At 54.7% G+C, this 26,073-nt stretch overlaps 2 protein-coding genes and 1 long non-coding RNA gene across 21 annotated transcripts in view, besides 20 other annotated features; 2 read left to right on the top strand and 1 right to left on the bottom strand.

Moving 5' to 3' along the window:
* Positions 1,938–2,791: an enhancer, noted in NCBI's record as "H3K27ac hESC enhancer chr16:1470895-1471748 (GRCh37/hg19 assembly coordinates)". NCBI's record gives its function as "activates a minimal SCP1, AML or CMV promoter by ChIP-STARR-seq in primed H9 embryonic stem cells {active_cell/tissue: H9 hESC(primed)}" and the evidence as "EXISTENCE:reporter gene assay evidence [ECO:0000049][PMID:30033119]".
* Positions 2,246–2,648: an enhancer, noted in NCBI's record as "nonconserved acetylation island sequence 122". NCBI's record gives its function as "activates a minimal heat-shock promoter by reporter assays in Jurkat T cells {active_cell/tissue: Jurkat}" and the evidence as "EXISTENCE:reporter gene assay evidence [ECO:0000049][PMID:17135569]".
* Positions 2,765–2,924: an enhancer, noted in NCBI's record as "active region_10225". NCBI's record gives its function as "activates an Ori minimal core promoter by ATAC-STARR-seq in GM12878 lymphoblastoid cells {active_cell/tissue: GM12878}" and the evidence as "EXISTENCE:reporter gene assay evidence [ECO:0000049][PMID:35858748]".
* Positions 2,765–3,647: a biological region, named in NCBI's record as "H3K27ac hESC enhancer GRCh37_chr16:1470039-1470894".
* Positions 2,792–3,647: an enhancer, noted in NCBI's record as "H3K27ac hESC enhancer chr16:1470039-1470894 (GRCh37/hg19 assembly coordinates)". NCBI's record gives its function as "activates a minimal SCP1, AML or CMV promoter by ChIP-STARR-seq in primed H9 embryonic stem cells {active_cell/tissue: H9 hESC(primed)}" and the evidence as "EXISTENCE:reporter gene assay evidence [ECO:0000049][PMID:30033119]".
* On the top strand, positions 2,938–3,933 carry UQCC4 (ubiquinol-cytochrome c reductase complex assembly factor 4). Its single transcript, NM_001272051.2, has 2 exons — positions 2,938–2,993; positions 3,073–3,933. Exons 1-2 carry the CDS (start codon positions 2,962–2,964, stop codon positions 3,437–3,439), a joined length of 399 nt encoding a protein of 132 aa, NP_001258980.1. The 5' UTR covers positions 2,938–2,961; the 3' UTR covers positions 3,440–3,933.
* Positions 3,175–3,224: an enhancer, noted in NCBI's record as "active region_10224". NCBI's record gives its function as "activates an Ori minimal core promoter by ATAC-STARR-seq in GM12878 lymphoblastoid cells {active_cell/tissue: GM12878}" and the evidence as "EXISTENCE:reporter gene assay evidence [ECO:0000049][PMID:35858748]".
* Positions 3,235–3,304: an enhancer, noted in NCBI's record as "active region_10223". NCBI's record gives its function as "activates an Ori minimal core promoter by ATAC-STARR-seq in GM12878 lymphoblastoid cells {active_cell/tissue: GM12878}" and the evidence as "EXISTENCE:reporter gene assay evidence [ECO:0000049][PMID:35858748]".
* Positions 7,782–8,355: an enhancer, noted in NCBI's record as "H3K4me1 hESC enhancer chr16:1465331-1465904 (GRCh37/hg19 assembly coordinates)". NCBI's record gives its function as "activates a minimal SCP1, AML or CMV promoter by ChIP-STARR-seq in primed H9 embryonic stem cells {active_cell/tissue: H9 hESC(primed)}" and the evidence as "EXISTENCE:reporter gene assay evidence [ECO:0000049][PMID:30033119]".
* Positions 8,356–8,930: an enhancer, noted in NCBI's record as "H3K27ac-H3K4me1 hESC enhancer chr16:1464756-1465330 (GRCh37/hg19 assembly coordinates)". NCBI's record gives its function as "activates a minimal SCP1, AML or CMV promoter by ChIP-STARR-seq in primed H9 embryonic stem cells {active_cell/tissue: H9 hESC(primed)}" and the evidence as "EXISTENCE:reporter gene assay evidence [ECO:0000049][PMID:30033119]".
* Positions 8,577–8,646: a silencer, noted in NCBI's record as "silent region_6983". NCBI's record gives its function as "represses an Ori minimal core promoter by ATAC-STARR-seq in GM12878 lymphoblastoid cells {active_cell/tissue: GM12878}" and the evidence as "EXISTENCE:reporter gene assay evidence [ECO:0000049][PMID:35858748]".
* Positions 8,697–8,816: a silencer, noted in NCBI's record as "silent region_6982". NCBI's record gives its function as "represses an Ori minimal core promoter by ATAC-STARR-seq in GM12878 lymphoblastoid cells {active_cell/tissue: GM12878}" and the evidence as "EXISTENCE:reporter gene assay evidence [ECO:0000049][PMID:35858748]".
* Positions 8,931–9,505: an enhancer, noted in NCBI's record as "H3K27ac-H3K4me1 hESC enhancer chr16:1464181-1464755 (GRCh37/hg19 assembly coordinates)". NCBI's record gives its function as "activates a minimal SCP1, AML or CMV promoter by ChIP-STARR-seq in primed H9 embryonic stem cells {active_cell/tissue: H9 hESC(primed)}" and the evidence as "EXISTENCE:reporter gene assay evidence [ECO:0000049][PMID:30033119]".
* Positions 8,981–26,073, top strand: part of UNKL (unk like zinc finger) — a 51,500-nt gene continuing 34,407 nt past the window's right edge. For 5 of the 19 annotated variants that reach the window (XR_007064896.1, XR_932901.2, XM_011522611.2 and 2 more), the window contains exons 1-6: positions 8,981–9,070; positions 9,630–9,839; positions 20,341–20,517; positions 21,984–22,117; positions 24,176–24,311; positions 25,546–25,605. Coding sequence is in view for 11 of the 19 variants with exons in the window: in XM_011522611.2 (XP_011520913.1) it covers positions 8,994–9,070; positions 9,630–9,839; positions 20,341–20,517; positions 21,984–22,117; positions 24,176–24,311; positions 25,546–25,605 (794 nt within the window). In the remaining 8 variants the exon portion in view is untranslated. Of the gene's footprint in view, positions 9,234–9,629; positions 9,840–20,340; positions 20,518–21,983; positions 22,118–24,175; positions 24,312–24,743; positions 25,385–25,545; positions 25,606–26,073 lie in introns of those variants that run through there. The other 14 variants (XR_007064897.1, NR_160278.1, NM_001193388.4 and 11 more) reach the window with 7 other exon arrangements.
* Positions 9,357–9,406: a silencer, noted in NCBI's record as "silent region_6981". NCBI's record gives its function as "represses an Ori minimal core promoter by ATAC-STARR-seq in GM12878 lymphoblastoid cells {active_cell/tissue: GM12878}" and the evidence as "EXISTENCE:reporter gene assay evidence [ECO:0000049][PMID:35858748]".
* Positions 9,506–10,080: an enhancer, noted in NCBI's record as "H3K27ac-H3K4me1 hESC enhancer chr16:1463606-1464180 (GRCh37/hg19 assembly coordinates)". NCBI's record gives its function as "activates a minimal SCP1, AML or CMV promoter by ChIP-STARR-seq in naive H9 embryonic stem cells {active_cell/tissue: H9 hESC(naive)}" and the evidence as "EXISTENCE:reporter gene assay evidence [ECO:0000049][PMID:30033119]".
* Positions 9,837–9,986: a silencer, noted in NCBI's record as "silent region_6980". NCBI's record gives its function as "represses an Ori minimal core promoter by ATAC-STARR-seq in GM12878 lymphoblastoid cells {active_cell/tissue: GM12878}" and the evidence as "EXISTENCE:reporter gene assay evidence [ECO:0000049][PMID:35858748]".
* On the bottom strand, positions 11,434–15,291 carry UNKL-AS1 (UNKL antisense RNA 1). Its single transcript, NR_188570.1, has 2 exons — positions 14,793–15,291; positions 11,434–11,756 (listed from the first exon to the last, which is right to left on the bottom strand). It is a non-coding gene; the product is annotated as an UNKL antisense RNA 1 (long non-coding RNA).
* Positions 14,868–15,017: a silencer, noted in NCBI's record as "silent region_6979". NCBI's record gives its function as "represses an Ori minimal core promoter by ATAC-STARR-seq in GM12878 lymphoblastoid cells {active_cell/tissue: GM12878}" and the evidence as "EXISTENCE:reporter gene assay evidence [ECO:0000049][PMID:35858748]".
* Positions 15,288–15,357: a silencer, noted in NCBI's record as "silent region_6978". NCBI's record gives its function as "represses an Ori minimal core promoter by ATAC-STARR-seq in GM12878 lymphoblastoid cells {active_cell/tissue: GM12878}" and the evidence as "EXISTENCE:reporter gene assay evidence [ECO:0000049][PMID:35858748]".
* Positions 15,288–15,513: a biological region, named in NCBI's record as "ReSE screen-validated silencer GRCh37_chr16:1458173-1458350".
* Positions 15,336–15,513: a silencer, noted in NCBI's record as "fragment chr16:1458173-1458350 (GRCh37/hg19 assembly coordinates)". NCBI's record gives its function as "represses an EF-1alpha promoter that drives an FKBP-Casp9 reporter gene in an ReSE screen in K562 erythroleukemia cells {active_cell/tissue: K562}" and the evidence as "EXISTENCE:reporter gene assay evidence [ECO:0000049][PMID:32094911]".
* Positions 15,408–15,457: a silencer, noted in NCBI's record as "silent region_6977". NCBI's record gives its function as "represses an Ori minimal core promoter by ATAC-STARR-seq in GM12878 lymphoblastoid cells {active_cell/tissue: GM12878}" and the evidence as "EXISTENCE:reporter gene assay evidence [ECO:0000049][PMID:35858748]".

Here is a 26,073-nt window from a genome sequence, read left to right as displayed (position 1 = left end):
ATTGGACGACTCTGGGTAAGTGGCAGGTCTCCGGTAAAGAATGGGAGTGGGGCCGGGGCACAGTGGCTCACACCTGTAATCCCAGCACGTTGGGAGGCCGAGGTGGGCGGATCACAAGGTCAGGAGATCGAGACCATCCTGGCTAACACGGTGAAACCCCGTCGCTACTAAAAAATACAAAAAAAATTAGCCTGGCTAACACGGTGAAACCCCGTCGCTACTGAAAAATACAAAAAAAATTAGCCAGGCGTGGTGGCAGGCACCTGTGGTCCCACTACTCGGGAGGCTGAGGCAGGAGAATGGCATGAACCCGGGAAGTGGAGCTTACAGTGAGCTGAGATCGCGCCACTGCACTCCAGCCTGGGCGACAGAGCAAGACTCCGTCTCAAAAACATAAAATAAAAAATAAAGAACGGGAGTAGGGTAGAGGCCCAACTTAGGGGAATTAGAGTCTCTCCTAAAACAGAGAGGGGCATGGTGGCTCACGCCTATAATCCCAGCACTCTGAGAGGCTGAGGTGGGTGGATCACTTGATGCCAGGAGTTCGAGGCCAGCCTGGGCAATATGGCGAAACCCCGTCTTTACTAAAAATACAAAAAAATTAGCGGAGTGCAGTGGCTCACCTCCCAGCACGTTGGGAGGCCAAGGTGGGCAGATCACCTGAGGTCAGGAGTTTGAGACCAGCCTGGCCAACATGGGGAAAACCCATCTCTACTAAAAACACAAAAAAATTAGTTGGGTGTGGTGGTGCCCACATGTAATCCCAGCTACTTGGGAGGCTGAGGCCGGAGAATCGCTTGAACCCGGGAGGCAGAAGTTGCAGTGAGCCTAGATCCCACCATTGCACTCCAACCCTGGCGATGAGAATGAAACTCCTCCTCAATAAATAAATAAGTAAATAAATAAAGGCTGGGCGTGGTGGCTCACGCCTATAATCCCAGCACTTTTAGAAGCCAAGGCCGGCGGATCACCTGAGGTCAGGAGTTCGAGACTAGCCTGGCTAACATGGTGAAACCCCGTCTCTACTAAAAATACAAAAATTAGCCAGGCTTGGTGGTGGGCGCCTGTGGTCCCAGCCAGTCAGGAAGCTGAGGTGGGAGAATCACTTGAGCCCGGGAGGCAGAGGTCTAAGTGCCGAATGGGTTCAACTTGCCTGCTGCCTAGAGAGAGCCAATTTATCAAGACAGGGGGAGTGCAATAGAGAAGGAGTAATTCACGCAGAGCTGGCTGTGCGGGACACAGGAGTTCTATTATTACTCAAATCAGTCAGCCGGAGCATTTGGGGATAGGAATTTTTAAAGATAATTTGGAGGGTAGAGGCTTGGGAAGTGGGGAGTGCTGGTTGGTCAGGTTGGAGATGGACTCACGTTCAGACTCTTCTGTTCCTGGCGGGCATGGCAGAACCGGTTGGGCCAGATGACCGGTCTGGGTGGTACCAGCTGATCCATCCAGTGCACGCTCTGCTAAATATTTCAGGCACTGATCTTTGAGCTTAGGTTTTTGTTGTTGTTGTGCTTTTTGAGACAGAGTCTTGCTCCGTCACCCAGGCTGGAGCACAATGGCATGATCTTGGCTCACTGCAACTTCCACCTCCAGGGTACAAGCGATTCTTCTCCTTCAGCTTCCCAAGTAGCTGGAACTACAAGCGAGCGCCACCACCCCAGGCTACTTTTTGTATTTTTAGTAGAGACAGGGTTTCACCATACTGGCCAGGCTGGTCTCAAACTCCTGACCTCGTGATCCACCCGACTTGGCCTCCCAAAGTGCTGGGATTACAGGCGTGAGCCACCACACCCGGCCTGATCTTAGATTTTACAATAGTGATGTTATCCCCAGGAGCAATTTGGGGAGGTTCAGACTCTTTTTTTTTTTCAGACTGAGCCTCGCTCTGTCGCCCAGGCTGGAGTACAGTGGCTCCATCTCGGCTCACTGCAACCTCTGCCTCCCAGGTTCAAGCGATTCTCCTGCCTCAGCCTCCCGAGTAGCTGGGACTACAGGCGCCCGCCACCACGCCCGGCTAATTTTTTGTATTTTTAGTAGAGACAGGGTTTCATCGTATTAGCCAGGATGGTCTCGATCTCCTGACCTCATGATCTGCCCGCCTCGGCCTCCCAAAGTGCTGGGATTACAGGCGTGAGCCACGGCGCCCGGCCAATTTCTAATTTTGCAGCTGATTTATTAGTCCTGCAAAGGCAGACTGGTCTTCAGGCAAGACGGGGGTTTTTTCTGGAAAGGGCTGTTGACTTTGATTCAGAGTGAAACCATGAACTGAAATCCTTCCCAAAGTTAGCTCTGCCCACGCCCAGGAATGAACCAGGACAGCTTAAGGGTGGGAAGCACGACGGAGCCCCTTAGGTCTCATCTCTTCCACTGTCATTTCCTCAGTGATAATTTTTGCAAAGGCGGTTTCAGAGGCCGCAGTGACGTGAGATCGCGCCACTGCACTCCAGCCTGGGCGACAGAGAGAGTCCCTGTCTCACGAAAAGAACTAAACGGAAAAAAAAAAAAAAAAAAAATAGGGCGGTGCCACGGCCTTCGGGGAAGCCGGCAGAGAGGTGCGGGCGCCCAGCCCAGGGCAGGCGGGCAGGGCTGAGGGCGCGGATCCCCAACCAGGCCCCGCGCACCTTCATGACGGTTCAGAACTGCTCCGAGGCAAACTCAGACAACTCTCTGAGGACAACGTCCGCCCCCGCGGCGCCCGCCTCTCTTCGGGGCCAGGGACCGGGGTGTCGGTCCTATTCGAAAGGGACGGAGAACTACATTTCCCGGCATGCCATCGCGCACTCCGGGCCTGCGACGGAAAGAGCTCTTCGCAGCCGAACGTCATTTCCGCTGCGCTACTGGGACCACGTTCTGTAGTCGTGAGCGGAGGCCTGGTATGGCGCCCGGTTTCCGGTTTCCGGCGACGGAAGTGACGCTATCACGGCGCGCCAAGGCGTCAGTCGAGGAGTCAAGGCAGCAATGAATCGTGTCTTGTGTGCCCCGGCGGCCGGGTGAGCTCCTCAAGGTCTCGGAGGGCCGAGGGCAGACACCGGCGGGCGGGCGGAGCGCTTACTGCTCTCTCTCTTCCAGGGCCGTCCGGGCGCTGAGGCTCATAGGCTGGGCTTCCCGAAGCCTTCATCCGTTGCCCGGTTCCCGGGATCGGGCCCACCCTGCCGCCGAGGAAGAGGACGACCCTGACCGCCCCATTGAGTTTTCCTCCAGCAAAGCCAACCCTCACCGCTGGTCGGTGGGCCATACCATGGGAAAGGGACATCAGCGGCCCTGGTGGAAGGTGCTGCCCCTCAGCTGCTTCCTCGTGGCGCTGATCATCTGGTGCTACCTGAGGGAGGAGAGCGAGGCGGACCAGTGGTTGAGACAGGTGTGGGGAGAGGTGCCAGAGCCCAGTGATCGTTCTGAGGAGCCTGAGACTCCAGCTGCCTACAGAGCGAGAACTTGACGGGGTGCCCGCTGGGGCTGGCAGGAAGGGAGCCGACAGCCGCCCTTCGGATTTGATGTCACGTTTGCCCGTGACTGTCCTGGCTATGCGTGCGTCCTCAGCACTGAAGGACTTGGCTGGTGGATGGGGCACTTGGCTATGCTGATTCGCGTGAAGGCGGAGCAGAATCTCAGCAGATCGGAAACTGCTCCTCGCCTGGCTCTTGATGTCCAAGGATTCCATCGGCAAGACTTCTCAGATCCTTGGGGAAGGTTTCAGTTGCACTGTATGCTGTTGGATTTGCCAAGTCTTTGTATAACATAATCATGTTTCCAAAGCACTTCTGGTGACACTTGTCATCCAGTGTTAGTTTGCAGGTAATTTGCTTTCTGAGATAGAATATCTGGCAGAAGTGTGAAACTGTATTGCATGCTGCGGCCTGTGCAAGGAACACTTCCACATGTGAGTTTTACACAACAACAAATGAAAATAAATTTTAATTTTATAATATGGGATTAGATGATTCCCTTTTTTTGCATCTAGTTTTTAAAAAGGGGGTATTTGGGCAGCTATTGTTTTTTATTTTAATCTCTTCTTGTTTACCAGAGCACGTAAGTTAGTTGCACCAGCAGCTATTTTTAAAAGTTTCCTTTTCCGGTCGGGCGCGGTGGCTGACGCCTGTAATCCCAGCACTTTGGGAGGCTGAGGCGGGCGGATCACGAGGTCAGGAGATCGAGACCATCCTGGCCAACACGGTGAAACCCTGTGTCTACTAAAAAATACAAAAAATTAGCCGGGCGTGGTGGCGGGCCCCTGGAGTCCCAGCTACTCCGGAGGCTGAGGCAGGAGAATGGCGTGAACCCTGGAGGCGAAGCTTGCAGTGAGTCGAGATCGCGCCACTGCACTCCAGCCTGCACGACAAAGCGAGACTCCGTCTCAAAAAAAAAAAAAAAGTTTCGTTTTCCTTTTTTTTTTTTTTTCCAGAGTGGGAACTGAGGAAAGAAACCTACATATATATTACCGAATAGTACCAGAAATGAGGAACTTTTGCAGTTTTCTGCAAAACTTTTTAAGCAAGGCAACCATTTTCTGAGTAGAATACAACTAGTGAGTATTTCTTTTCACAAATGATGGGCACTATTTTGGGTTACCTAAGTGATTGTTTTTTGTTTTTTTGTTTTGTTTTGTTTTGTTTTTATTTTTGAGACAGGGTCTCACTCTGTCTCCCAGACTGGAGTGCAGTGGCACAATTTTGGCTCACTGCAACCTCTTGTCTCCTGGGTTCAAGCAGTTCTTCTGCCTCAGCCTCCCGAGTAGCTAGAACTACAGGCTTGTGCCACCACACCCGGATAATTTTTAAATTTTCAGTAGAGACGGGCTTTTGGCATGTTGGCCAGGCTGGTCTCAAACTCCTGACTTCAAGTGATCTCTCCTCCTCGGCCTCTCACAGTGCTGGGATTACAGATGGGAGCCACCGCGCCCGGCCCCAGATTGTTTTCTCTTTTTTTTTTTGAGATTGAGTCTTGCTCTGTCACCTAGGCTAGAGTACAGTGGCTCCATCTTGGCTCACTGCAACCTCCACCTCCTGGGTTCAAGCGACTCTCCTGCCTCAGCCTCCAGGGTAGCTGGGATTACAGGCACGCACCGCCACACCCGTCTAATTTTTGTATTTTTAGTAGAGACGGGGTTTCGCCATGTTGGCCAGGCTGGTCTCAGATTCCTGACCTCAAGTGATCTGCCCGCCTTGGCCTCCCAAAGTTCTGGGATTATAGGCATGAGCCACTGCGCCCGGTCAATTGTTTTCATACATATATACCTATACATGTTTCAGAGACATGCAGCAGATCCCAAGTGCCTCCAGGGCAGCGATCTGGGAGGGCTTTTCCAGTTGCTGACCTCACACCTGTGCCGTAGACAGACCCAAGGCCAGCTGGGGATGGTGGGCGGATCTTCCCTACTCCTGGAGTTTTCAAAGGATGGCAACAGAGCAGGTTGATAGGTGAACAGTTAATTCAGTACAGTTAGTATTTATTATTATTTTTTGAGATGGAGTCTTGCTCTGTTGCCCAGGCTGGAGTGCAATGGTACAGTCTTGGCTCACTGCAACCTCCGCCTCCGGGGTTCAAGCAATTCTCCCGCCCCAGCCTCCTGAGTAGCTGGGATTACAGGCGTGCACCACCATGCCCGGCTAATTTTTCTATTTTTAGTAGAGACAGGGTTTCACCATGTTGGCCAGGCTTGAACTCCTGACCTTAGGCAATCTGCCCACCTCGGCCTCCCAAAGTGCTGGGATTACAGGCAGGAGCCACTGCGCCCAGTTGTATTTAACTATTTTTGTAGTGTGTTTGTCTTGTTTTCCCAACTGGGCTGTAGCTTTTATTTTCCCCAGGGTACATGGCACACTGACCTCCCCAGATAAGCATTTGAGAGGGAGACCATTGTAAGCATGCTAGAACAGACGCAGCTGCAGCGATTCCTAAGATGACAAATGGCTGGGCAGGAGGTGGAAATTGTTTTTTGTTTTTTTGTTTTTTTTTTGAGACGGAGTCTCGCTCTGTCACCCAGGCTTGAGTGTGGTGGCACGATCGCGGCTCACAGCAACCTCTGCCTCCCGGGTTCAAGCAATTCTCCTGCCTCAGCCTCCTGAGTAGCTGGGATTACAGGCGTGCACCACTGCGCCCAGCAATTTTTTTTTGTATTTTCAGTAGAAACGGGGTTTCACCATGTTGGCCAGGCTGGTCTTGAACTCCTGACCTCAGGTAATCCACCCACCTTGGCCTCCCAAAGTGTTAGGATTACAGGTGTGAGCCACTGCACCCAGCCGGAAATTGTTTTAAAACAAAAATTCTTGAACGGGCGCAGTGGCTCATGCCTGTAATCCCAGCACCTTGGGAGGCCGAGGCGGGCGGATCATAAGGTCAGGAGATCGAGACCATCCTGGCTAACATGGTGAAACCCCGTCTCTACTAAAAATAGAAAAAATTAGCCAGGCGTGGTGGCGGGCGCCTGTAGTCCCAGCTACTCAGGAGGCTGAGGCAGGAGAATGGCTTGAACCCGGGAGGTGGAGCTTGCAGTGAGCTGAGATCATGCCACTGCACTCCAGGCTGGGCGACAGAGTGAGACTCTGTCTCAGAAAAAAAAAAAAAAAAAAAAATTCTTTCAAGGAAGATGTTAACCAAACCATCTCAAAAACAAAAACAAAAAATTCTTTCAAGGAAGGTGTTAACCAAATGGTCACGTCTAAGCTGATGAACTGTCTATATAACTCAGGTACCACCCTAGACTTTAAAGAACATTTCTTCCAAAGCATGAAAAAACATGATACTTTCAATCCTTAAGTCTTACATCAGTTTCCTTTGATTTCTTCAAGGAAGATGCCCCCAGGGTGTGGAGGAACAGCAGGTGTCTTCACTCATACCTTTACAGCAAAGATCCCCAAATTCCTAAACCCTAAGGCTCCAAATCTGTTTCCTAGCTTTAGCAGGCTCCCTAGACACCTCTGCTGGACAGCTCACAGGCTCCTTAAACTCCAAAATGGAATTCATCTCCCCCAAACCTGTTTCTTCTCCCTTGCTCTGTATCCTTGCAAGCGAGAGACCTGGGCGTCACCCTAGACTCCCTTTCCATTCCTAGCACCTTGGGAGTCTTCAAGATCTGTTTATTCGTCTCTGAAGAATTTGCAGGCCCTGCCCTTCCTGCTTGACTTCATTTTCCTGCTTGACTTCACTTGAAAATATGTTCTTCATTATCATTTTAAGATTTAAATGTAATGTTTGTAGAGATAATTCATTAAGAAAATGTGATCCTGGCTGGCGCGGTAGCTCACGCCTGTAATCCCAGCACTTTGGGAGGCTGAGGCAGGTGGATCACCTGAGGTCGGGAGTTCGAGATCAGCCTAACTAATGTGGAGAAACCCCGTCTCTACGAAAAATAAATTAGCTGGGCGCGGTGGTGCATGCCTGTAATCGCAGCTACTCAGGAGGCTGAGGTAGGAGAATTCCTTGAACCTAGGAGGCGGAGGTTGCAACAGTGAGCCGAGATCGTGCCATTGCACTCCACTCTGGGCAACAAGAGCAAAACTCCTTCCTCCCCCCGCCCCCCGCCAAAAGAAAAAGAAAATGTGAACCTATGAAGAAATTTATCCTACCAGCAAATGATAGTTTTTGTTGTTTTACAGTATTAATATTAAAAAAAACCCTGAGATACTTGGAACAAATCTGTAGGAAGTGATTTGCTTTCAACCTAAATGGGCCCATTTTTCTTTTCGTTTTTTTTTTTTTTTTTTTTTTTTTTTTTTGAGACGGAGTCTCGCTCTGTTGCCCAGGCTGGAGTGCAGTGGCGCGATCTCGGCTCACTGCAAGCTCCGCCTCCTGGGTTCAAGTGATTCTCCTGCCTTAGCCTCCTGAGTAGCTGGGACTACAGGTGCCCACCACCACGCCCGGGTAATTTTTTTTTTTTTTTTTGTATTTTTAGTAGAGACGGGGTTTCACCGTGTTAGCCAGGATGGTCTCGATCTTCTGACCTCGTGATCCGCCCACCTCGGCCTCTCAAAGTGCAGGGATTATAGGCGTGAGCCACCGCGCCCGGCCAATGGGCACATTTTTCATATCACTAAAAATTTCTTTTTTATTTTTTGAGACAGGGTGTTACTCTGTCACCCAGGCTGGAGTGCAGTGGCGCAATCTCGGCTCACTACTAAACCTCCGCCTCCCGGGTTCACGCCATTCTCCTGCCTCAGCCTCCGGAGTAGCAGGAATTACAGGCGCAAGCCACCACACCCCACTAATATTTTTGTATGTTTAGTAGAGACGGGGTTTCACTGTTGGCCAAGCTGTTGTCAAACTCCCGAACTCAGCTGATCCGCCGGCCTCGGCCTCCCAAAGTGCTGGGATTACAGGCGTGAGACACCGCGCCCGGCCTCCTACCACTAAAAATTCTTCGGAAGCACTGTTTCAAATCACGCAGAGCACTTAGAGTTTTCCCTTTTCTCAGCTACTGCGCTGTTGGGGGAAGGGGGACCTCAAGTGTTTGCAAAATAACTGTGATAATTACCTTTGTAGATAAATCTCTGAGTATAAGTTTTTGAGGTCAAGGTTCGAAATGGAACAAATTCCTTTCTACAAAGGCCAGGACCCCTTGGCCCTTCCGCCCGGTGCCTGGCTCCCCCTGACATCAGCCTCTTGGTTCGTTTGTGGAAGAGCAGCTCTATTGAGATACAACTCTTGTGATTAATTCATGTAAAATACACGGTTATGTCGGGTCATGTCACAGCAGGGGCGACCATCGCGGGTCCCACGCGCGGCCCCGGGCAGGACCAGCGTCCCGGGCCGGGGGCTGCAGGGCAGGGCAGGGCAGGGCAGGGCAGGGCAGGGCAGGGCAGGGCAGGGCGGGGCGCGGGGCTGGGGCGGGGTCTGCGGGCCGGGGGCGGGGCTGCGGGGGGCGCGGGGCTGGGGCGGGGCCGGGGTCTGCGGGCTGGGGGCGGGGCCGCGGGGGGCGTGGCCGCGGGGGCGCGCGGGGATATCCGGGGGCGGGGGCGCCGGCGCGGCGCATGCGCGCTGCATTGTTTTGACTGAAAATGCCGTCGGTTTCGAAAGCGGCGGCAGCGGCGCTGAGCGGGTCCCCCCCGCAGACTGAGAAGCCGACCCACTACAGGTCAGCGCCCGTCCGGCCTGCGGCCCCCCGCCCGCGCCCGGTGCAGCTCGGAGCCTCCCGCCGGGGCTCGCGCCGCCTCCGCCGCCCCCGCGCCCCCCGGCCTCCGCGCAGCGCCTGGGCTGGGGGGGCCACGACCCTCTGCTCTCGGCGGCCTCCGCCTGAGGTCGGAGCGCGGCGCCCATGGTCTGGGATGGCACCTGGTTCCGGGGTCCACGCGCCTCTGGGGAGGGAGGAACGCCCCGGGGTTGGGGGTTGCGCCTGGGCTCGGGGACCGGGACCCTCTGCTCCGGCTGCCGACCGTGAGGTCACAGCGGGTCGCCCAGGGTCCGGGGTGGCGCTTGGGCTTGGGGACCAGGGTCAGCGCCTGGGCTACGAGGTCGGGTGAGGGTCGCGTCTGGAGTCGGGATGGGGGTGGGCGCAGCGCCTGGGGCCCGCCGGGAATGTGAGTACGGGTCGACCCTGGGTTGAGGCTCCTGAGGCCGGTGGGTCCCGCCGCCCACGAGTCCGAGTCCCTGGAGGTGCTGCCGGAAGCGAGCCGCGGCGCTGTCTGTGTTTGTAGGTACCTGAAGGAGTTCAGGACGGAGCAGTGCCCCCTGTTTTCACAGCACAAGTGCGCGCAGCACCGGCCGTTCACCTGCTTCCACTGGCACTTCCTCAACCAGCGGCGCCGCAGGCCCCTCCGCAGGCGCGACGGCACCTTCAACTACAGCCCCGACGTGTACTGCTCCAAGTACAACGAAGCCACCGGCGTGTGCCCCGACGGCGACGAGTAAGCGGCCGCGAGGGGGCGCCGCTGCCTGGGCGGAGGTGGGGGGCCTCCACCCGGGGATGCGGCCGGGACCCTCAGCGGACGCCTTAGTGTCCATACCTGGCCCCTGCAGAGGGAGTCGTAATTATACGCTGAAATTTTCTAGTGACCAGGGATGCTGGGGCGGCATTTCCTATTCTCAGGCCAGTTCCCGAGGGATTATGTGTGTTTTAGGGGTAACCCTTGTGTGACTCAAACCAATTTTGCTTCACCTCCCACTTTTTTTTGTTTGTTTTTTGAGACGGAGTTTCACTCTTGTTGCTCTGGCTGGAGTGCAATGGCATGATCTCGGCTCACTGCAGCCTCTACCTCCCAGGTTCAAGTGATTCTCCTGCCTCAGCCTCCGGAGTAGCTGGGATTACAGGCATGTGCCACCATGCCCAGCTAATTTTTTATTTTTAGTAGAGACAGGGTTTCTCCATGTTGGTTAGGCTTGTCTCGAACTCCCAACCTCAGGTGATCCACCCACCTCGGCCTCCCAAAGTGCTGGGATGACAGGCATGAGCCACCGTACCCGGCCCCACTTTTTTTTTTTTTTTTTTTTTTTTTTTTTTTTTTTTTTTGAGACAGGGTCTTGCTCTGTCGCTGGGGCTGGAGTGCAATGATAGGATACGGCTCACTGCAGCCACCAACTCCTAGGCTCAAGTGATCTTCCCTTCTCAGCCTCCCAAGTAGCTGGGACTACAGGCTCATGCCATGCCAGCTAATTTTGCATAGTTTTTGTAGGGATGGGGTCTCACTACATTGCCCAGGCTGGTCTTGAACTTCTGGGCTCAAGCAATCCTCCTGCTTCAGCCTCCCAAAGTGCTGGGATTCCAGGTGTGAGCCACTGTGCCTAGCTGTTTCCCACTCTGATTTGACACAGTTCCTGCATGAGAACCAACCTCTGGCCAAGTGCCTTGTTTTGTGTTTCTATAGAGACAGGGTTCTTGCTGTAGCCTGGTCTGGTCTCAACCTCCTGGGCACAGCGATCCTCCCTCCTTGGCCTCCCAAAGTACTGGGATTCCAGGCATGATCCACTGCGCCCGGCCAGGTTTTGAAGCGTTTTGTAGTGGTCGGTTGCTTTCCACACAGAGAGCTTGTTAGAATATTCACGCTGTAGAATATATCTGGGATGTTTCGTCTCTTGATGTTTACGTATTTATTTTAATTTTAAGACAGTAAAGTTTTTATGTGCAGGCTCATTTATGTAGCATCGAGACTGAGTCTCGCTCTGTCACCCAGGTTGGAGTGCAGTGACTTGATCTTGGCTCACGGCAACCTCTGCCTTGTGCAGGTTTAAGTGACCTGCCTCAGCCTCCTGAATAGCTGGGATTACAGGCACCCGCCACCACGCCTAGCTAAGTTTTTGTATTTTTAATAGAGTTGAGGTTTCGCCATGTTGGCGAGGCTGGTCTCGAACTCCTGACCTCAGGTGATTCTCCCTCCTTGGCCTCCCAAAGTGCTGGGATTACAGGCGTGAGCCACCACGCCTGGCCCCTATGTAGCACTTTTAAAGTTAAGAAATCAAGGTTTTGTTTTGGTTGATTTTTTTCTTTTTTTACAAGGTTCCTAATAGTGTTATGAACAGATGTCTTTATTCTGAAGTATGCAAAATGGGAAAACAGGGAAAATACAAGTCAGATTATATATTCACAGACTGGCGGGAGGTGGTATCAGGTTCTACTTGCTTCCTGTGGGCTGCTGGCGGAGGGTGGAGGGCGGAGGGTGGTCCATTCCTGCCTAGGGGTGAGACAGCAGCAGTTGCGGTCTTGAAGTCTTCATCCCCTGATCTTTTGGAAGGAGCTGATTCTCCAGGGACCTTCCTGTTGAAGGCTGCTTTCAGCACGGAGATCCTTGTGAAGTCTGTTTTCCTTTATTTTTTCAACAGTGCTTAGCCTAGGCGATAAATTAAAAAAAATTTTTTTTAAGGACGCTAGAAACTTTAAATACTGAAATGTTTTTAATTGTACATTAGTTAAATAGTGTTTGTTTTGTTTTTGTTTTGAGACGAAGTCTCTGTCACCCAGGCTGGAGTGCAGTGGCGCCATCTCAGCTCACTGCAACCTCCGCCTCCCAGGTTCAAGCGATTCTCCTGCCTCAGCCTCCCGAGTAGCTGGGATTACAGGCGCGTGCCACCACGCCCAGCTAATTTTTGTATTTTTAGTAGAGACGGGATTTCTACATGTTGGTCAGGCTGGTCTTGAACTTCTGACCTCGTGATCTGCCCGCCTCGGCGTCCCAAAGTGCTGGGATTACAGGCATGAGCCACCGCGCCCGGCTGTTTTTGTTTTTTGAGACAGGGTCTTGCTCTGTGCCCTGGGCTGGAGTGCAGGGGCATGAACACGGCTCACTGCAACTTGAACCTCCAGGGCTCAAACCATCTTCCTGCCTCAGCCTCCTGAGCAGCTGGGACCACAGGAGTGCTCTATCACTCCTGGCTAATTTATTTTATTTTATTTATTATTTTGTTTTTGAGACCGAGTCTCACTCTGGTTGCCCAGGCTGGAGTGCAGTGGTACGATCTCAGCTCATTGCAGCCTCTACCTCCTGGGCTCAAGTGATTCTCCCACTTCAGCCTCTGGAGCTATAGACTCTCTACACCACGCCTGGCTAATTGTTTTTGTATTTTTAGTAGAGAAGGGGTTTTGCTACATTGTCCAGGCTGGTCTCAGTCTCAAACTCCTGGACCCAAGAGATCCTCCCACCGCAGCCTCCCAGAGTGCTAGGATTACAGGTGTGAGCCACCACACACCTCGGCTCATTTTTAATTTTTTTGTAGAGATGGAGTCTCGCTGTGTTACCCGGCCTCAAGCGATCTTCCCACCTTGGCCTCTCCAACGTGCAGGGATTATAGGTGCAAACCACCACACCCGGCCATAGTGTTGTTAAGGCAGGTTGATGCCTAAACTTGAAATAATGTAGTCAGCCCATTTTGGTTAGGATGGTGATGTACTTCAAGGCGGTTCTGAAAGTGCATAATTGAATTGGTTTTTAAGCCACTGTTTTCCGCAAATGGGGCTTTCAAAGGCAGGTATTTGTCTAGTTGATGTCTGGGCTCAGCCCCTGATTTCCCTTGGTCAAGCCCCTTATCTGCCCAGACCTGGGATCCTGAGTTGCAAGTAGGGCCACTGCTGCTTAACTCTGGTGTGGGGGTCCTGGAAGTGTGAAGACGAGCACCCAGCCTGTCTGACCCCACTCCAGTGTTGAATACAGGGCACTGATTGGCAGCACTCTATGTCACCCAGGCTGGAGTGCAGTGGCGTGATCTCGGCTCACCGCAACCTCTACCTCCCGGGTTCAAGCGATTCTCCTGCCTCAGCCTCCCAAGTAGCTGGGATTACAGGCATGTGCCACCACGCCCGGTTAATTTTGTATTTTTAGTAGAGATGGGGTTTCTCCATGTTGGTCAGGCTGGTCTCGAACTCCTGACCTCAGGTGATCCACCCGCCTCGGCCTCCCAAAGTGCTGGGATTACAGGCATGGGCCACCGTGCCTGGCCAGGTGATGCTTTTAATGCATAAAGATAAAGCATCTTTTTCTCTCTTTTTTTTTTTTTTCTGAGACAGGGTCTTGCTTTGTCACCCAGGCTGGAGTGCAGTGGTGCCATTACAGCCCACTGCAGCCTCGACCTCCCGGACTTAAGCAGTCCTCCCACCTTAGCCTCCCAAAGTGCTGGGATTACAGGTGTGCAGCCCTGCACCCGGCGAGAAAGCATCTTTTCATAACTGTTTCTTTTTTTGGAGATGGAGTCTCGCTCTCGCTTTATCTACCAGACTGGAGTGAAGTGGTGCGATCTGGGCTCCTGTATCCTCTGCCTCCTGGGTTCAAGCAATTATTGTACCTCAGCCTCCTGAGTAGCTGGGATTACAGGCGTGTGCCACCATGCCTGGCTAATTTTTGTGTTTTTAGTAGAGATGGGTTTCACCATGTTGGCCAGGCTGGTCTTGAACTCCTGACCTCAGGTGATCCGCTAGCCTTGGCCTCCAAAAGTGCTGGGATTACAGACATGAGCCACCGCGCCCGGCCTCATAAGTTTTTGTTGCGGAGTCTGGGTGTCTTGGTGTGGACTCAGCCTCACTGCTAGGCACAGGGTGGTATCCAGTTCTTACAGGGATGGACAGTGCTGTAGTAAGCGCCTGCCTCTAGGTGGTCACTTCAAGCTGTGCTCAAGTAGCAGTTCCATAACATCATTACAAAAATATTAGCCTGCTGTCTGAATGGCTTACAGTTTATAATTGAGGGTGGTAAGTGGGGCTAAGATGCCTGTTTGGTGTTTTGTTTTGGATACCTGGGTATATGCACACATAGTAAGGAAATTTCCTTATTTTATTTAAGATTTTGTTTGTAGCGTGTGAATGACTTGCTTCGACCGGCCCTTTAGGAAGTGTCTGACAGGCTGCCTCCCCTGAGATCTCTCCTCCATAATTATCCTTCATTCCACGGGAGTGGGACTTTCTCATCGCTGAACAAAGGGAATAGCCAGTTTGTCCTATTGAAGTACCCGTTCTGGTTCTCATTAAGGGTTGCCTCGGAATTTGTAAATAAAGGAACGTTCAGAATAAGGACAGGGCCTTCCTTTTCTTTAGTTCATTGGTTTTTAAAATTTCTATTTTGGCTGGGCGCGGTGGCTCACGCCTGTAATCCCAGCACTTTGGGAGGCCGAGGCGGGCAGATCACGAGGTCGGGAGATCGAGACCATCCTACATGGTGAAACCCCGTCTCTACTAAAAATACAGAAAAATTAGCTGGGCATGGTGGCGGGCACCTGTAGTCCCAGCTACTTGGGAGGCTGAGGCAGGAGAATGGCGTGAACGTGGGAGGCGGAGGTTGCAGTGAGCCGAGATCGCGCCACTGCACTCCAGCCTTGGCGACAGAGCAAGACTCAAAAAAAAAAAAAAAGAAATTTCTATTTTGGGTGTTGATACTACCAACCTGTTATTTTACACATGAATGTGTATCAGAGAGCAGAGACCCTTAGCCCGTATCAGGCGTTGCTCTTGGTTGTGGCTGGAGGTGCTGGGGCTGAGCTGTGGGGCAGAGCAGGACTGGGACCCCAGGAGGGCCCCCCGCTGCTGGCGTCTCCTTTCCACGGCAGGCTGGCACCTCGCTCCACCCCTGCCTGCTCAGTTGCTGCCTCTGTCAGCCCCCCCTGGGGGCAGCCCCACCGGTACCAGCTCCTGCGGACGCCTCTGCCGTCACCCCTCCCTCCGTGGAGGGTGACCTCCTACAGCCCCTGCTGTCATCTCTTCTCTCTTCCTCATCCTATGGCTCCCCAGGTCACTTCTCGGCGTCCTCTATCCTCTGTGGGCACCCCCTCCGGTGCCTGCCCCCGTGGGTGCCCCCACTGTGCACCCTTTCCTAGGTGGGTGGCTGCCCCTTGTTGCACCCCACGCCGTGCCGGTCCTGTGGGCATCAGCGTGATCTCGGCCCCGCCCCGCCCCGCTCGGGAAAGGCCTTTTGTTCCGCGCGACACGCCCCTCCGCTGCGCGCCCGCGATTGGCTGTCCCGGGTCACGTGTGAAGCCCCGCCCCCGTGGGAACCGTCCTGGTCGTTGGGGGGGGGGGCAGCTCCCATGTGGGCGTGGCCTTGAGGCCCCGGGGGTGTAGCTGAGGGGCAGGCGCTTGCTTTTCTCTTTAAACAGATTGCGGTAAAGAAATAGAAAAGGCGCCCCGCGGGACCCCGGGCCTCTCCAGGGTCCATCTTTTTTTTGTTTTTCTTTTGAGCCAGGGTCTGGCTCTGTCTCCCAGGCTGGAGTGCCGTGGCTCGATCTTGGCTCACTGCAACCTCTGCCTCCTGGACTCAGCTGATCCTCGTGCCTCAGCCTCCGGAGTACCCAAGCGATCCATATGCCTAGGCTTCCCAGAGTCCTGAGATTACAGGCCTGAGGCACCATGCCCAGCCTCTAGGCCCATTTTCATTGGGAAAAAAAAATACACGTGGCCTGCAGCTGTGTAGCCACAGAACGAGTGGCCATCTGCCAGCCCACCCCTGTCCAGAAGAGCGCTCCTGCACTGTGGCCCTGCAGCCACCCTGGGTCTCGTTCTCAGAAAAAACAGGCTTGCCCCATTCCTGTGGTGCCACTTTTCCAGATTGACACACAGACACAGGTTTGTCCTTTTTTTTTTTTTTTTGACAGGGCCTCACTCTGTCGCCCAGGCTGGAGTGCAGTGGTGTGATCTTGGCTCAGTGCAACCTCAACCTCCTGAGCTCAAGTGATCCTCCCACCTCAGCCTCCAAAGTAGCTGGGACCATAGGCGCACACCACCACGCCCAGCTGAATTTTTGTATTTTTTGTAGGGGTGGGGTCTTGCTGGTTTCGAACTCCTGGGCTCAAGTAATCCACCCACCTCTCCTCCCAAAGTGCTGGGATTACAGGAATGAGCCACTGCGCCCGGCCTCTGTCTTCTTTCCAGAGCTCTGTTTGGCGGTGTCACCTGACAGACCTGACACTTCCCGCTTGCCCTGTGCGCCTCCCCAGGCCTCTGTCGTCCGGCAGGTGCAGAACTCCTGTCTGGATGGGTCCGGGGTGTGCCTAGCTGGGTCTCCACTGTGCATTCTGTGAGTAACTGGTGGGAGGAGAAACTTTTCCAAGTATCCATTTCTAAGATTAACTGTTGCTGCTTGTATCTGGCGGGTCTGGAGTCTGATCTTTTTTTTTTCTTTCTTTCTTTTTTTTGAGATCGAGTCTCCCTCTGTCACCCAGGCTGGAGTGCAGTGACACGATCTCGGCTCACTGCAGCATCCACCTCCCGGGTTCAAGTGATTCTCCTGCCTCAACCTCCCGAGTAGCTGGGATTACAGGCGTGCGCCACCATGCCCAACTAATTTTTGTGTATGTGTGTATTTTTAGTAGAGATGGGGTTTCACCATGTTGGCCAGGCTGATCTCTTAACTCCTGACCTCAGGTGGTCCACCTGCCTCAGCCTCCCAAAGTTCTGGAATGACAGGCGTGAGCCACTGTGCCCGGCCAGGAGTCTGATCTTTCTATTAAAAGATCCTCTTGCAATATTTAATTTTAAAATGTTGAATGCCTTAGGACCTAAGGCGTAGGTGAAAGTTCCACTCACTTCAGGGTGTGTAGAATTTGCTGTTTAAACTGATCTCATGATGAGCTTGGGCTTTGGGAGCAAGAGGAAAGCCCACGGCCGGCCTGGGACGTGCGAGCAGTCTTTAAAACTCAGAGGCATCCGGGTGCAGTGGCTCATACCTGCAGTCCAAATACTTCAGGAGGCCTAGGCAAGTGGATCGCTTGAGCCCAGGAGTTTGGGACCAGCCTGGGAAACAGCAAGATTCTGTCTCTACAAAAAAATTAGGCCGGGCGCGGTGGCTCACGCCTGTAATCCCAGCACTTTGGGATGCCAAGGCAGGCGGATCACCTGATGTCAGGAGTTCAAGACCAGCCTGGTCAACATGGTGAAACCCTGTCTCTACTAAATATACAAAAATTAGCCAGGCATGGTGGCAGGTGCCTGTAATCCCAGTTACTCGGGAGGCTGAGGCAGGAGAATCGCTTAAACGCAGGAGGCAGAGGTTGCAGTGAGCTGAGATTGTGCCACTGCACTCCGGCCTGGGCAACAGTGAGACTCTGTCTCAAAAAAAAAAAAAATTAGCAATATAGCCCGGCATGGGAGTACGCCTGTTCCTCCCATCACCCCCAGCTGTTTCAGTGCTGTGCTCTGGGCCCCCCACCTATGCCTGCGTCCTTAAGCTGGAAGGGAGTCGTGTACACTGCCTGTCTCCTAAGCCCGGTGGTTCTCGCACGTTCCCTGGGAACCAGCCGGCAGTGCAGATCCACGGGCCTCGTCCACACCAGCTGGGGGGACCACATGGGCCACGGGCCTCCTAGGTGATTTTGATGCATGTGGCTCGCAGTCTCGAGAATGTGTTAAGGGGGTCTGGTGGACCCTCCTTGGGTTCAGGTGAGAGCTTCCTGAGGGAAGGGCAGCTTCTTGCACTCCAGGATCTGGCTGCCTCCTATCCTCTGGTCTCGGTGGGTCCAGGGCATTGGAGCGTGAGGCAGAGCGGTGCCCATGTGCTGGGTGTAATCACGTGGCTCTGCTCACTGATTGTCTCGGATGAGTTTGAGAACCGTGTTTGTCACCCGACCCCCGGGGGCTCGTGCGTCCCCTCCTTGGGCATCCGTGAGCAATGGCTCTGTGCTTTCTCTTAGGTATTCCCTCTCACCTCCTAGGTGTCCGTAAGAGTAAGGCATTTTCTTAAAACTTTTTCCAGTTTCTTTTTTTTTTTTGAGATGGAGTTTTGCCCTTGTCACCCAGCCTGGAGTACAGTGGCGCGATCTCGGTTCACTGCAACCCCCGCCTCCCGGGTTCAAGTAATTCCCTGCCTCAGCCTCCCGAGTAGCTGGGATTATAAGCGCCTGCTATCATGCCCGGCTAAATTTTGTATTTTTAGTAGACCAGCCAGGCTGGTCTTGAACTCTTGAGCTCGTGATCCACCCGCCTTGGCCTTCCAAAGTTCTGGGATCACAGGCGTGAGCCACTGTACCCAGCTGCCTGGCTGGCTGCCTGCCTTCCTTCCTTTCTCCCTCCCTCCCTCCCTGTCTTTCTTTCCTCTCCCTCCCTCCCTTCCTTCCTCGCCTCCTTTTTTTTTTTTTTTTTTTTTTTTTTTTTGAGACAGGGTCTTGCTCTGTTGCCCATGCTGAAGTGTGGTGGCACAATCACGACTCACTGCAGCCTTGGCCTTTTGGGCTTTAAGCGATCCTCCCTCCTCAGCCTCCCAAGTAGCTGGGACCACAGGTGTCCACCACCACGCCGGGCTAATTTTTAAATTTGTTGTAGAGATGGGGACTCACCATGTTGCCCAGGCTAGTCTTGAACCCCTAGCCTCAAGCAATCCTCCTGTCTCTGCCCCCCAAAGTGCTGGGATTACAGATGTCAGCCAGTGTGCCAGTCCTTCCTTCTAAGTCTGAAAAATACCCCACTGTGTGGCTGGAAGCCCGCGTTTACCCCATTGTGTGGATAGAAGCCCACGTTTACCCTGTCTTGTGGACGGAAGCCTGCGTGTACCCCGTCACGTGGATGGAAGCCCGCATTAACCATGTTGTGTGGATGGAAGCCCGCGCTTTCCTTATTGACTCCATTGGCGCCCACTTGGGTGGTTTCTGCCTCTTGGCTCTTGCGAATGACGCTGCTGTGAACATGGGTGTGCAGGTGTCTCCTGAAGACCCTGCCTCCAGGTTTTTTGGATGTGTACTTAGGAGCAGGATCGCTGGGTACCAAGGTAGCGTTGTAATTTGACTTTTGCTTGGCTGGCTCCTGGGGACCCTGAGAGCCAGCCAGGCACCCCTTCTTCTGCCTCTGTCGACCCTCAGCTTTCAGTGTCTGGCACATCACAGGTGCCCAGCGGAGCCTGGGTCGGCCTCTCTGAACTCTGTGTCTCTGTTTCCTGACCTTAGAGGATGGGGCTAGACCTGGTGTTGCTGAATCGCTCTTGGTCCCCAGCCATCCCTGGCTGGAGCTCCTAGTGCCCAGGCTGCAGCCCTGTGCACAGTGAGGTGGGCGGGGCCCTCACGGAGCTCCCCAGTTGGAGCTGGAGGTGAAGGTTTCAGTCCTTACATTTGGGGGCCTGCAGTGACGGCCCATGTCATCCTCTGCCTTGGCCCTTGGGCCACTCAGGGTGATTCTGTGACCAGCCAGGGCTCGACACCATTGATGACTCAGGGTCCTCTGTGCGTCCCTTTGCCTCCTTCTGGAGTGACCTACCTGGAGGCGCCCAGGAATGCCAGAGCGGTTTGTGTCGTCTCCTTGTCTCCGTCGCTGCTGCCTGCCTATGACTTGAGCCTTGGCAGCTGCTTCCCCTCTCCACTGCACCCCATCGTGCTTCAGGAGCTGCCTGTGACTCCCCAGGAGCATGGCTCTGGGCCTGCAGGTGGCCCATGGGATGGTGATGCTACCTCACCTGTGTTCCCCACCACGCCATCTGCCGCCTCTTCTGCCCATCCCCCTCGTGTCCCCCAAGCCGCGTCCAGGGCCCTGTGCTTGTTCCCTCCCCTACCTCCCTCCTGGGGTCCCTGAAAGCAGCAGGACGCTGGGCAGGAGGGGCCCCCACTTTGTGACTGCGACGGGTAAGGAAGGTGACGCAGCCTGCGTGCAGGGCATGAACTCTCATTCCCACACAGGTTTAAAGGTTTATTTGGAACATTAGGAAGGATGAGCTTTGTGGAAATTCAGCATTGTGTTTCCTGCTGTGTTTGGCTGACTGGGGGTTTGCGATGGTCTGTGTTTCTTACTGTGTTTGACTGGTTGACTGGGGGTTTGCGGTGGTCTGTGTACCTGGGCGGTTCCACATTTGGGGACAGGTGCTGCGTCCAGTGTGTCCGTCCTTCTGATTAGAACAGGAATCTGGAAGAAGGGAAGGGAATTCACTGCTTGCCACGTGCTGACAGGGCGTGGACCCAGGGAGCTTAGGGCTGCCTCTGGGTCCATGATAACCAGGCATTGCGTGCCTCTCTGCTCCCCAGGTGTCCCTACCTGCACCGGACGACGGGGGACACAGAACGCAAGTACCACCTGCGTTACTACAAAACAGGAACCTGCATCCACGAGACAGACGCACGTGGCCACTGCGTGAAGAATGGGCTGCACTGTGCCTTCGCGCACGGCCCCCTGGACCTGCGGCCGCCCGTGTGTGACGTCAGGTGAGTGGGCATCCACGAGTGGGCACTTGGCCTGCCTGCTGCTGTGGGCTCTGCTGGATGAGCAGGAACTCGGCAAGTGGCTCGCCTCCCTGCTGCTGCAGGCTCTGCTGGCCCAAATCTCTCTCCTCCAGAATTTCTTTCTGAGTCTGGATGTTAGTCCTTTTTTTGCTTTTTTTGAGACGGATTCTCGTTCTGTCACCCAGGCTGGAGTGCAGCGGCGCGATCTCAGCTCACTGCAAGCCCTGCCTCCTGGGTTCACACCATTCTCCTGCCTCCGCTGCCCGAGTAGCTGGGACTACAGGTGACCACCACCACGCCCAGCTAATTTTTTTTTTTTTTGTATGTTTAGTAGAGATGGGGTTTCACCATGTTAGTCAGGATGGTCTCGATTTCCTGACCTTGTGATCCACCCACGTTGGCTTCCCAAAGTGCTGGGATTACAGTGAGCCACTGCGCCTGGCCTCTGGATGTTATTTCTTTCTTTTCTTTTCTTTTTTTGTTTTTTGAGATGGAATCTCGCTCTGTTACCCAGGCTGGAGTGCAGTGGCGTGATCTTGGCTCACTGCAACGTCTACCTCCTGGGTTCACGCCATTCTCGTGCCTCAGCCTCCCGAGTAGCTGGGACTACAGGCGCACACCACCATGCCTGGGTTATTTTGTTGTATTTTTAGTAGAGACAGGGTTTTACTGTGTTAGCCAGGATGGTCTCCATCTCCTGACCTCATGATCTGCCCGCCTCGGCCTCCTGAAATTCTGGGATTACAGACGTGAGCCGCTGCACCTGGCCTCTGGATGTTATTTCTAATGAGACAGTCCTTCAGCTCTTCTCACTGTGTGTTTCTCTTCTGGGCCCGGAGGGCAGCTCACTGGGGTTGAGGCTGTGAGGCACTGCTGCTTTCCAGGAGAACGAACTCAGCACACAGTCTGGGGCAGACAGTCCTTCAGCTCTTCTCACTGTGTGTTTCTCTTCTGGGTCCGGAGGGCAGCTCACTGGGGTTGAGGCCGTGAGGCACTGCTGCTTTCCAGGAGAACGAACTCAGCACATGGTCTGGGGCTGCAGAAAAGCGAATCCTGCCCACACAAAACTCCGCTCTTACTTGGGTGGGGCTGAGCATAGTGGCCCATACATGTAATCCCAGTGCTCTGGGAGGCCAAGGTGGGAGGATCGCTTGAGCCCGGGAGATGGAGACTGCAATGAGCTGTGATTGCGTCACTGCACTCCAGCCTGGGGGACAGAGCCAGACCCTGTCTCAAACAAGACAAAGCAAACAAAATGAAGTGGTTGGGATTTGGATGAGGACTGCGGGCCAGGACAGCGGAGCGCCACACACTGAGACTCCGTCCTGAACCCTTCGGCAGCAGCCTCTCTGTGCAGTGGTGGGAGGGGAGCGTGCCCTCCAGTGACCTCGTTTCAGCTTTGGAGGCTCCAGATGCAGAGCTGTGACCACTGTGTCCTCGGCTTGCAGGGAGCTGCAGGCCCAGGAAGCCTTGCAGAACGGCCAGCTGGGCGGCGGGGAAGGGGTCCCGGATCTGCAGCCTGGGGTCTTGGCCAGCCAGGCCATGATTGAGAAGATCCTGAGCGAGGACCCCCGGTGGCAAGGTAACTCCACGGCCGCAGCTGAGGGCGGTGGTGGGGGGGGCGGGCACAGCGCGAGAACAGCTCGGGCCACTTGGTTCCCTGTGCCTTTCAGTTTACGTGCAAGGTGATCAGATGGGGAAACCGAGGCTCGTGGAGTCCAATACCAAGCCCTCCCCAACAGGGGGTGGGTGCCGAGTGGGATTTGGGCCCAGGCGCCTTCCCCCGCACCTGCTCTGAATCTCTGCGGCAACTGGCATCTCAGTGGGGCCAGCCATTGACCAAGTGGCCGAGGAGGTAGCACAACTCCCACCGGAACTCGTGAGGCGTCCTGTCCCAGAGCCGGGGCGCCCACCAGGCACCCACCAGGATGCTCAGCAGAGCCCCCAGCCCACCAGGCACCCACCAGGATGCCCAGCAGAGCCCCCAGCCCTGCGCCTCTCTGGGGTGGTGCTCTAGACAGCAGCTTTCAAATCCCTGAGCTTGGCCAGAAACATATGGACCAGGGGGCTGTCCCTCGGGGCTGGGGGACCTGCATTCCTGGCTGGCACACAGATGAGGTTATATGCAGGGGAGATTTTGATTTGAAAAAAAACGTGGTAAGGCTGGGAGCACTGGCTCACGCCTGTAATCTCAGCACTTTGGGAGGCCGAGGCGGGCAGATCACTTGAGGTCAGGAGTTTGAGGCCAGCCTGGCCAACATGGTGAAACCATGTCTCTGCTAAAAATACAAAAAATTAGCCGGTTGTGGTGGTGGGCGCCTGTAATCCCAGCTACTTGGGAGGCTGAGGCTGGAGAATCTCTTGAACTCGGGGGGTGAAGGTTGCAGTGAGCCAAGATCACGCCACTGCACTCCAGTGTGGGTGACAGAGTGAGACTCCGTTTCAAAAAAAAAAATGTAAAATACACACAACATAAAATGCACCATTTTTAAGTGTACAGTCCAGTGGCATTTAGCACGTCTGCAGTGTTGTGCAGCTGCCACCTCTCTCTAGTTCCAGAACATTCCATCCCTGCAGAAGGAACCCCCCTGCTTATGAGCAGTTCCTCCCCATCCCCTCCCTGGTCCCTGCACTCACTGGCCTGCATCCCATCTCTGTGAATTTGTGTATTCTGGACATTGCGTATGGCAGCGATTTTTTTTTTTTTTTTTTTTTTTTTTTTTTTTTTTTTTGAGATGGAGTCTCGCTCTGTCACCCAGGCTGGAGTGCAGTGGCACAATCTCAGCTCACTGCAACCTCCGCCTGCCAGGTTCAAGCAATTCTCCTGCCTCAGCCTCCTGAGTAGCTGGGATTACAGGCAGGCACCAGTATGCCCGGCTAATTTTTTATTTTTAGTAGAGACGGGGTTTCACTGTGTTGGCCAGGCAAGTCTTGAACTCCTGACCTTGTGATCCACCCACCTCGGCCTCCCAAAGTGCTGGGATAACAGGCGTGAGCCACCACGTCCGGCCCAGTGAATGACTTCTAAAAATAGGCTTTATTTTTTAGAGCGGTTTCCGGTTCACAGCAAAACTGAGTAGAAAAATAGATTTCCCAAACACCCCCTGCCCCCTCAGCCTCCCCTGCCGTGCACCTCCTGCACTGCGAGGTACGCTCTTTACCAACAGTGAACCCACACTGATGTGTGCTTGTCACCCAGAGGCTGTGGTGCGCATGAGGCTCACCATGCGGCATTTCGGGGTGTGCATGTCTCTGGATTTTAGCATATTCTCAAAAGCTGTGCACACATCACCTCTCTCTAGTTGGAGAACATTTTCATCCCCCAGCAAGGAAGCCGCACACCCACAGCAGGACTCCCTCCCAGCCCTGGTGGTCTCGGCTCCACTCCGTCTCTGTGGGTTCCCTAGTTCTGGGCATTTTCACATAAACAGAATCACACCACGTGGCCTTCTGGCCCGGCTTCCCTCATGGAGCGCGAGTCCTTTGACATCAGCGTGTGCCGTGGCGTGTGTCTGCGCTCCCCAAGTCCTCCTGCAGCCCCTTCCATTTGGGGGACAGCCAGGTCCTTCCACCTTTGGTCTCCTCTGCCCAGCATTGCTTCCAGTCGCGCTGCTCAGGCACCGTGTGGCCCATTTTTCAGATGCCAACTTCGTGCTGGGCAGCTACAAGACGGAGCAGTGCCCGAAGCCGCCACGCCTGTGCCGCCAGGGCTATGCGTGCCCACACTACCACAATAGCCGGGACAGGCGGCGCAACCCCCGGCGGTTCCAGTACAGGTGAGCCTGCGGGACCGTGCTCAGAGGACTCCGGCTGGTGGGCGTCCTTCCCGGCCCGTGGCTCGCGTTGCCCACCCCGGGGTTCTAATGGGAGGGCTGCCCTTGTGGCACCATCATCCCCGGGAGGGGAGGGCATCTCCAAGCACAGTGGCTGTGGGAGGTGCCATGGAGGCCCACGCGTCTGTCCTGGGGATGGGCCTCCCCACCTACGCTCAGTGTCTCCCATGCAGTCCCCTACCGGGGCCCCTCTGCCAGGCAAGGGGACGGAGCACTGCAGGAGGGACCCCAAGCCCAGCTGGGACCCCCGTGTGCCCCACCCGTGCCTCTGGTTGCAGCCACGCTCTCCAGCCTGTGGGCTGCATGCTGTCTCCTCACCCAAGCTGCCAGGGGCTCAGGCACTGTCGTCACCTGGGCTCAATCTTGTCTTCACAGCTGGCAGCTGGGACGCCGGGTCCTTAGGCTGAGTCCCAGGGCCAACAACCCAAGGGTCGCCCTGCCCAGGGTGCACACAGGACCTTCCTCCACCGCCTGAGCCCCAGCTGTCCCCTGGGTCTGGCTTGTGGGTTTGGCACCTCGCAGCCTGCTTGCCTCTGAAGCCCCTTTCTCCTCCTTGCTCCAGCCCGGCCTTCTGGTTGTGCCTGGCCTGGCTTGCCTCCTGTCTGCAGTTTGCACCTGAGAGGGGGGTGGGGGGGTGCAGACCCCACAGGGTGTCTGGATGCCTGGGCCATGGCCTTGGCCTCCCTGAGGCCCTGTCTGTGTCCAGCTCTTCCTTTGAGCAGAGAGCCACCCTCGCCTCTTTTGAATGACCTGGTGCTGCCTCGCATGCCCCGGAGAGCACCTGTGCTTCCTTTGGGAAGGACGCCCCACTCCTTGTTGTTATGCCACGTTCAGTCTCCCTCTGAGCAGCTTCCGAGTAAAGGACCTGAACGGCTGTAGAACAAACCACAAATTAGTGTCTGAGATTTTGTCATCGCCCGTCATGGAAAGAAAATAAAAATTATTTTTTCAACAGGCACTTAATGTGTCCCATAAATACAAATCAGTTACAATAAAGCAGCTAGAGATTCCACGAAGAGTAGAGGATTTTGTTTTTTTATGAGACAGAGTCTCACTCTGTGGCCCAGGCTGGAGTGCGGTGGTGCAGTCTCAGCTCACTGCAGTAGGAACATAGGTAATTTGAAATTGGTGCGGAGTTTTAAATTGTGGGATCAAAACTCTCGCTTCCATTTTATAGAAAGTTGGCGAGGAGACAGCCCCGTGCTGTCTGGGCGCCCGGCCTCACTGTCCCCAGGAGGTTCGGCTGCTTCTCCCCTGCGTTCTCCACGTCCGTGAGGGTGGCTCTGACTGAGACTCAAGTTAAATTCTGTGAAGAACAGCCCCGGGGCTCCTGACCCCATCCTGGCACTGGCCGGGCCTGCGTGTCCGTGAGCGCAGAGCTGCGTTGCCTGTCACTCCAGGGCCCCATGCCCGAGGCCCCTCCTGGTGGGAGGCAGACACCCCTGGGCACACGAGGAACCATGTTTTCCTGTGTCCCCCTGACACCTCCTCATCCCCAGGTCCACGCCCTGCCCCAGCGTGAAGCACGGGGGTCGGGGTGGGGGAGCCAAGTCCTCTGTGTCCCCCTGACACCTCCTCATCCCCAGGTCCATGCCCTGCCCCAGCGTGAAGCACGGGGGTCGGGGTGGGGGAGCCAAGTCCTCTGTGTCCCCCTGACACCTCCTCATCCCCAGGTCCACGCCCTGCCCCAGCGTGAAGCACGGGG

This window comes from Homo sapiens, chromosome 16 (genome assembly GCF_000001405.40).
Source record: "Homo sapiens chromosome 16, GRCh38.p14 Primary Assembly".
NCBI classification, from domain to species: Eukaryota; Metazoa; Chordata; class Mammalia; order Primates; family Hominidae; genus Homo; species Homo sapiens.
This window is presented reverse-complemented; position numbering and strand designations above follow the sequence as displayed.

What these genes read in the sequence shown, in the direction of transcription:
- UQCC4 (NM_001272051.2), top strand. Translation starts at nt 2,962, where the DNA reads ATGAATCGTGTCTTGTGTGCCCCGGCGGCCGG. An exon ending in TTGTGTGCCCCGGCGGCCGG is followed by an intron (nt 2,994 to 3,072) that starts GTGAGCTCCTCA and finishes TCTCTCTTCCAG; the next exon opens with GGCCGTCCGGGCGCTGAGGC.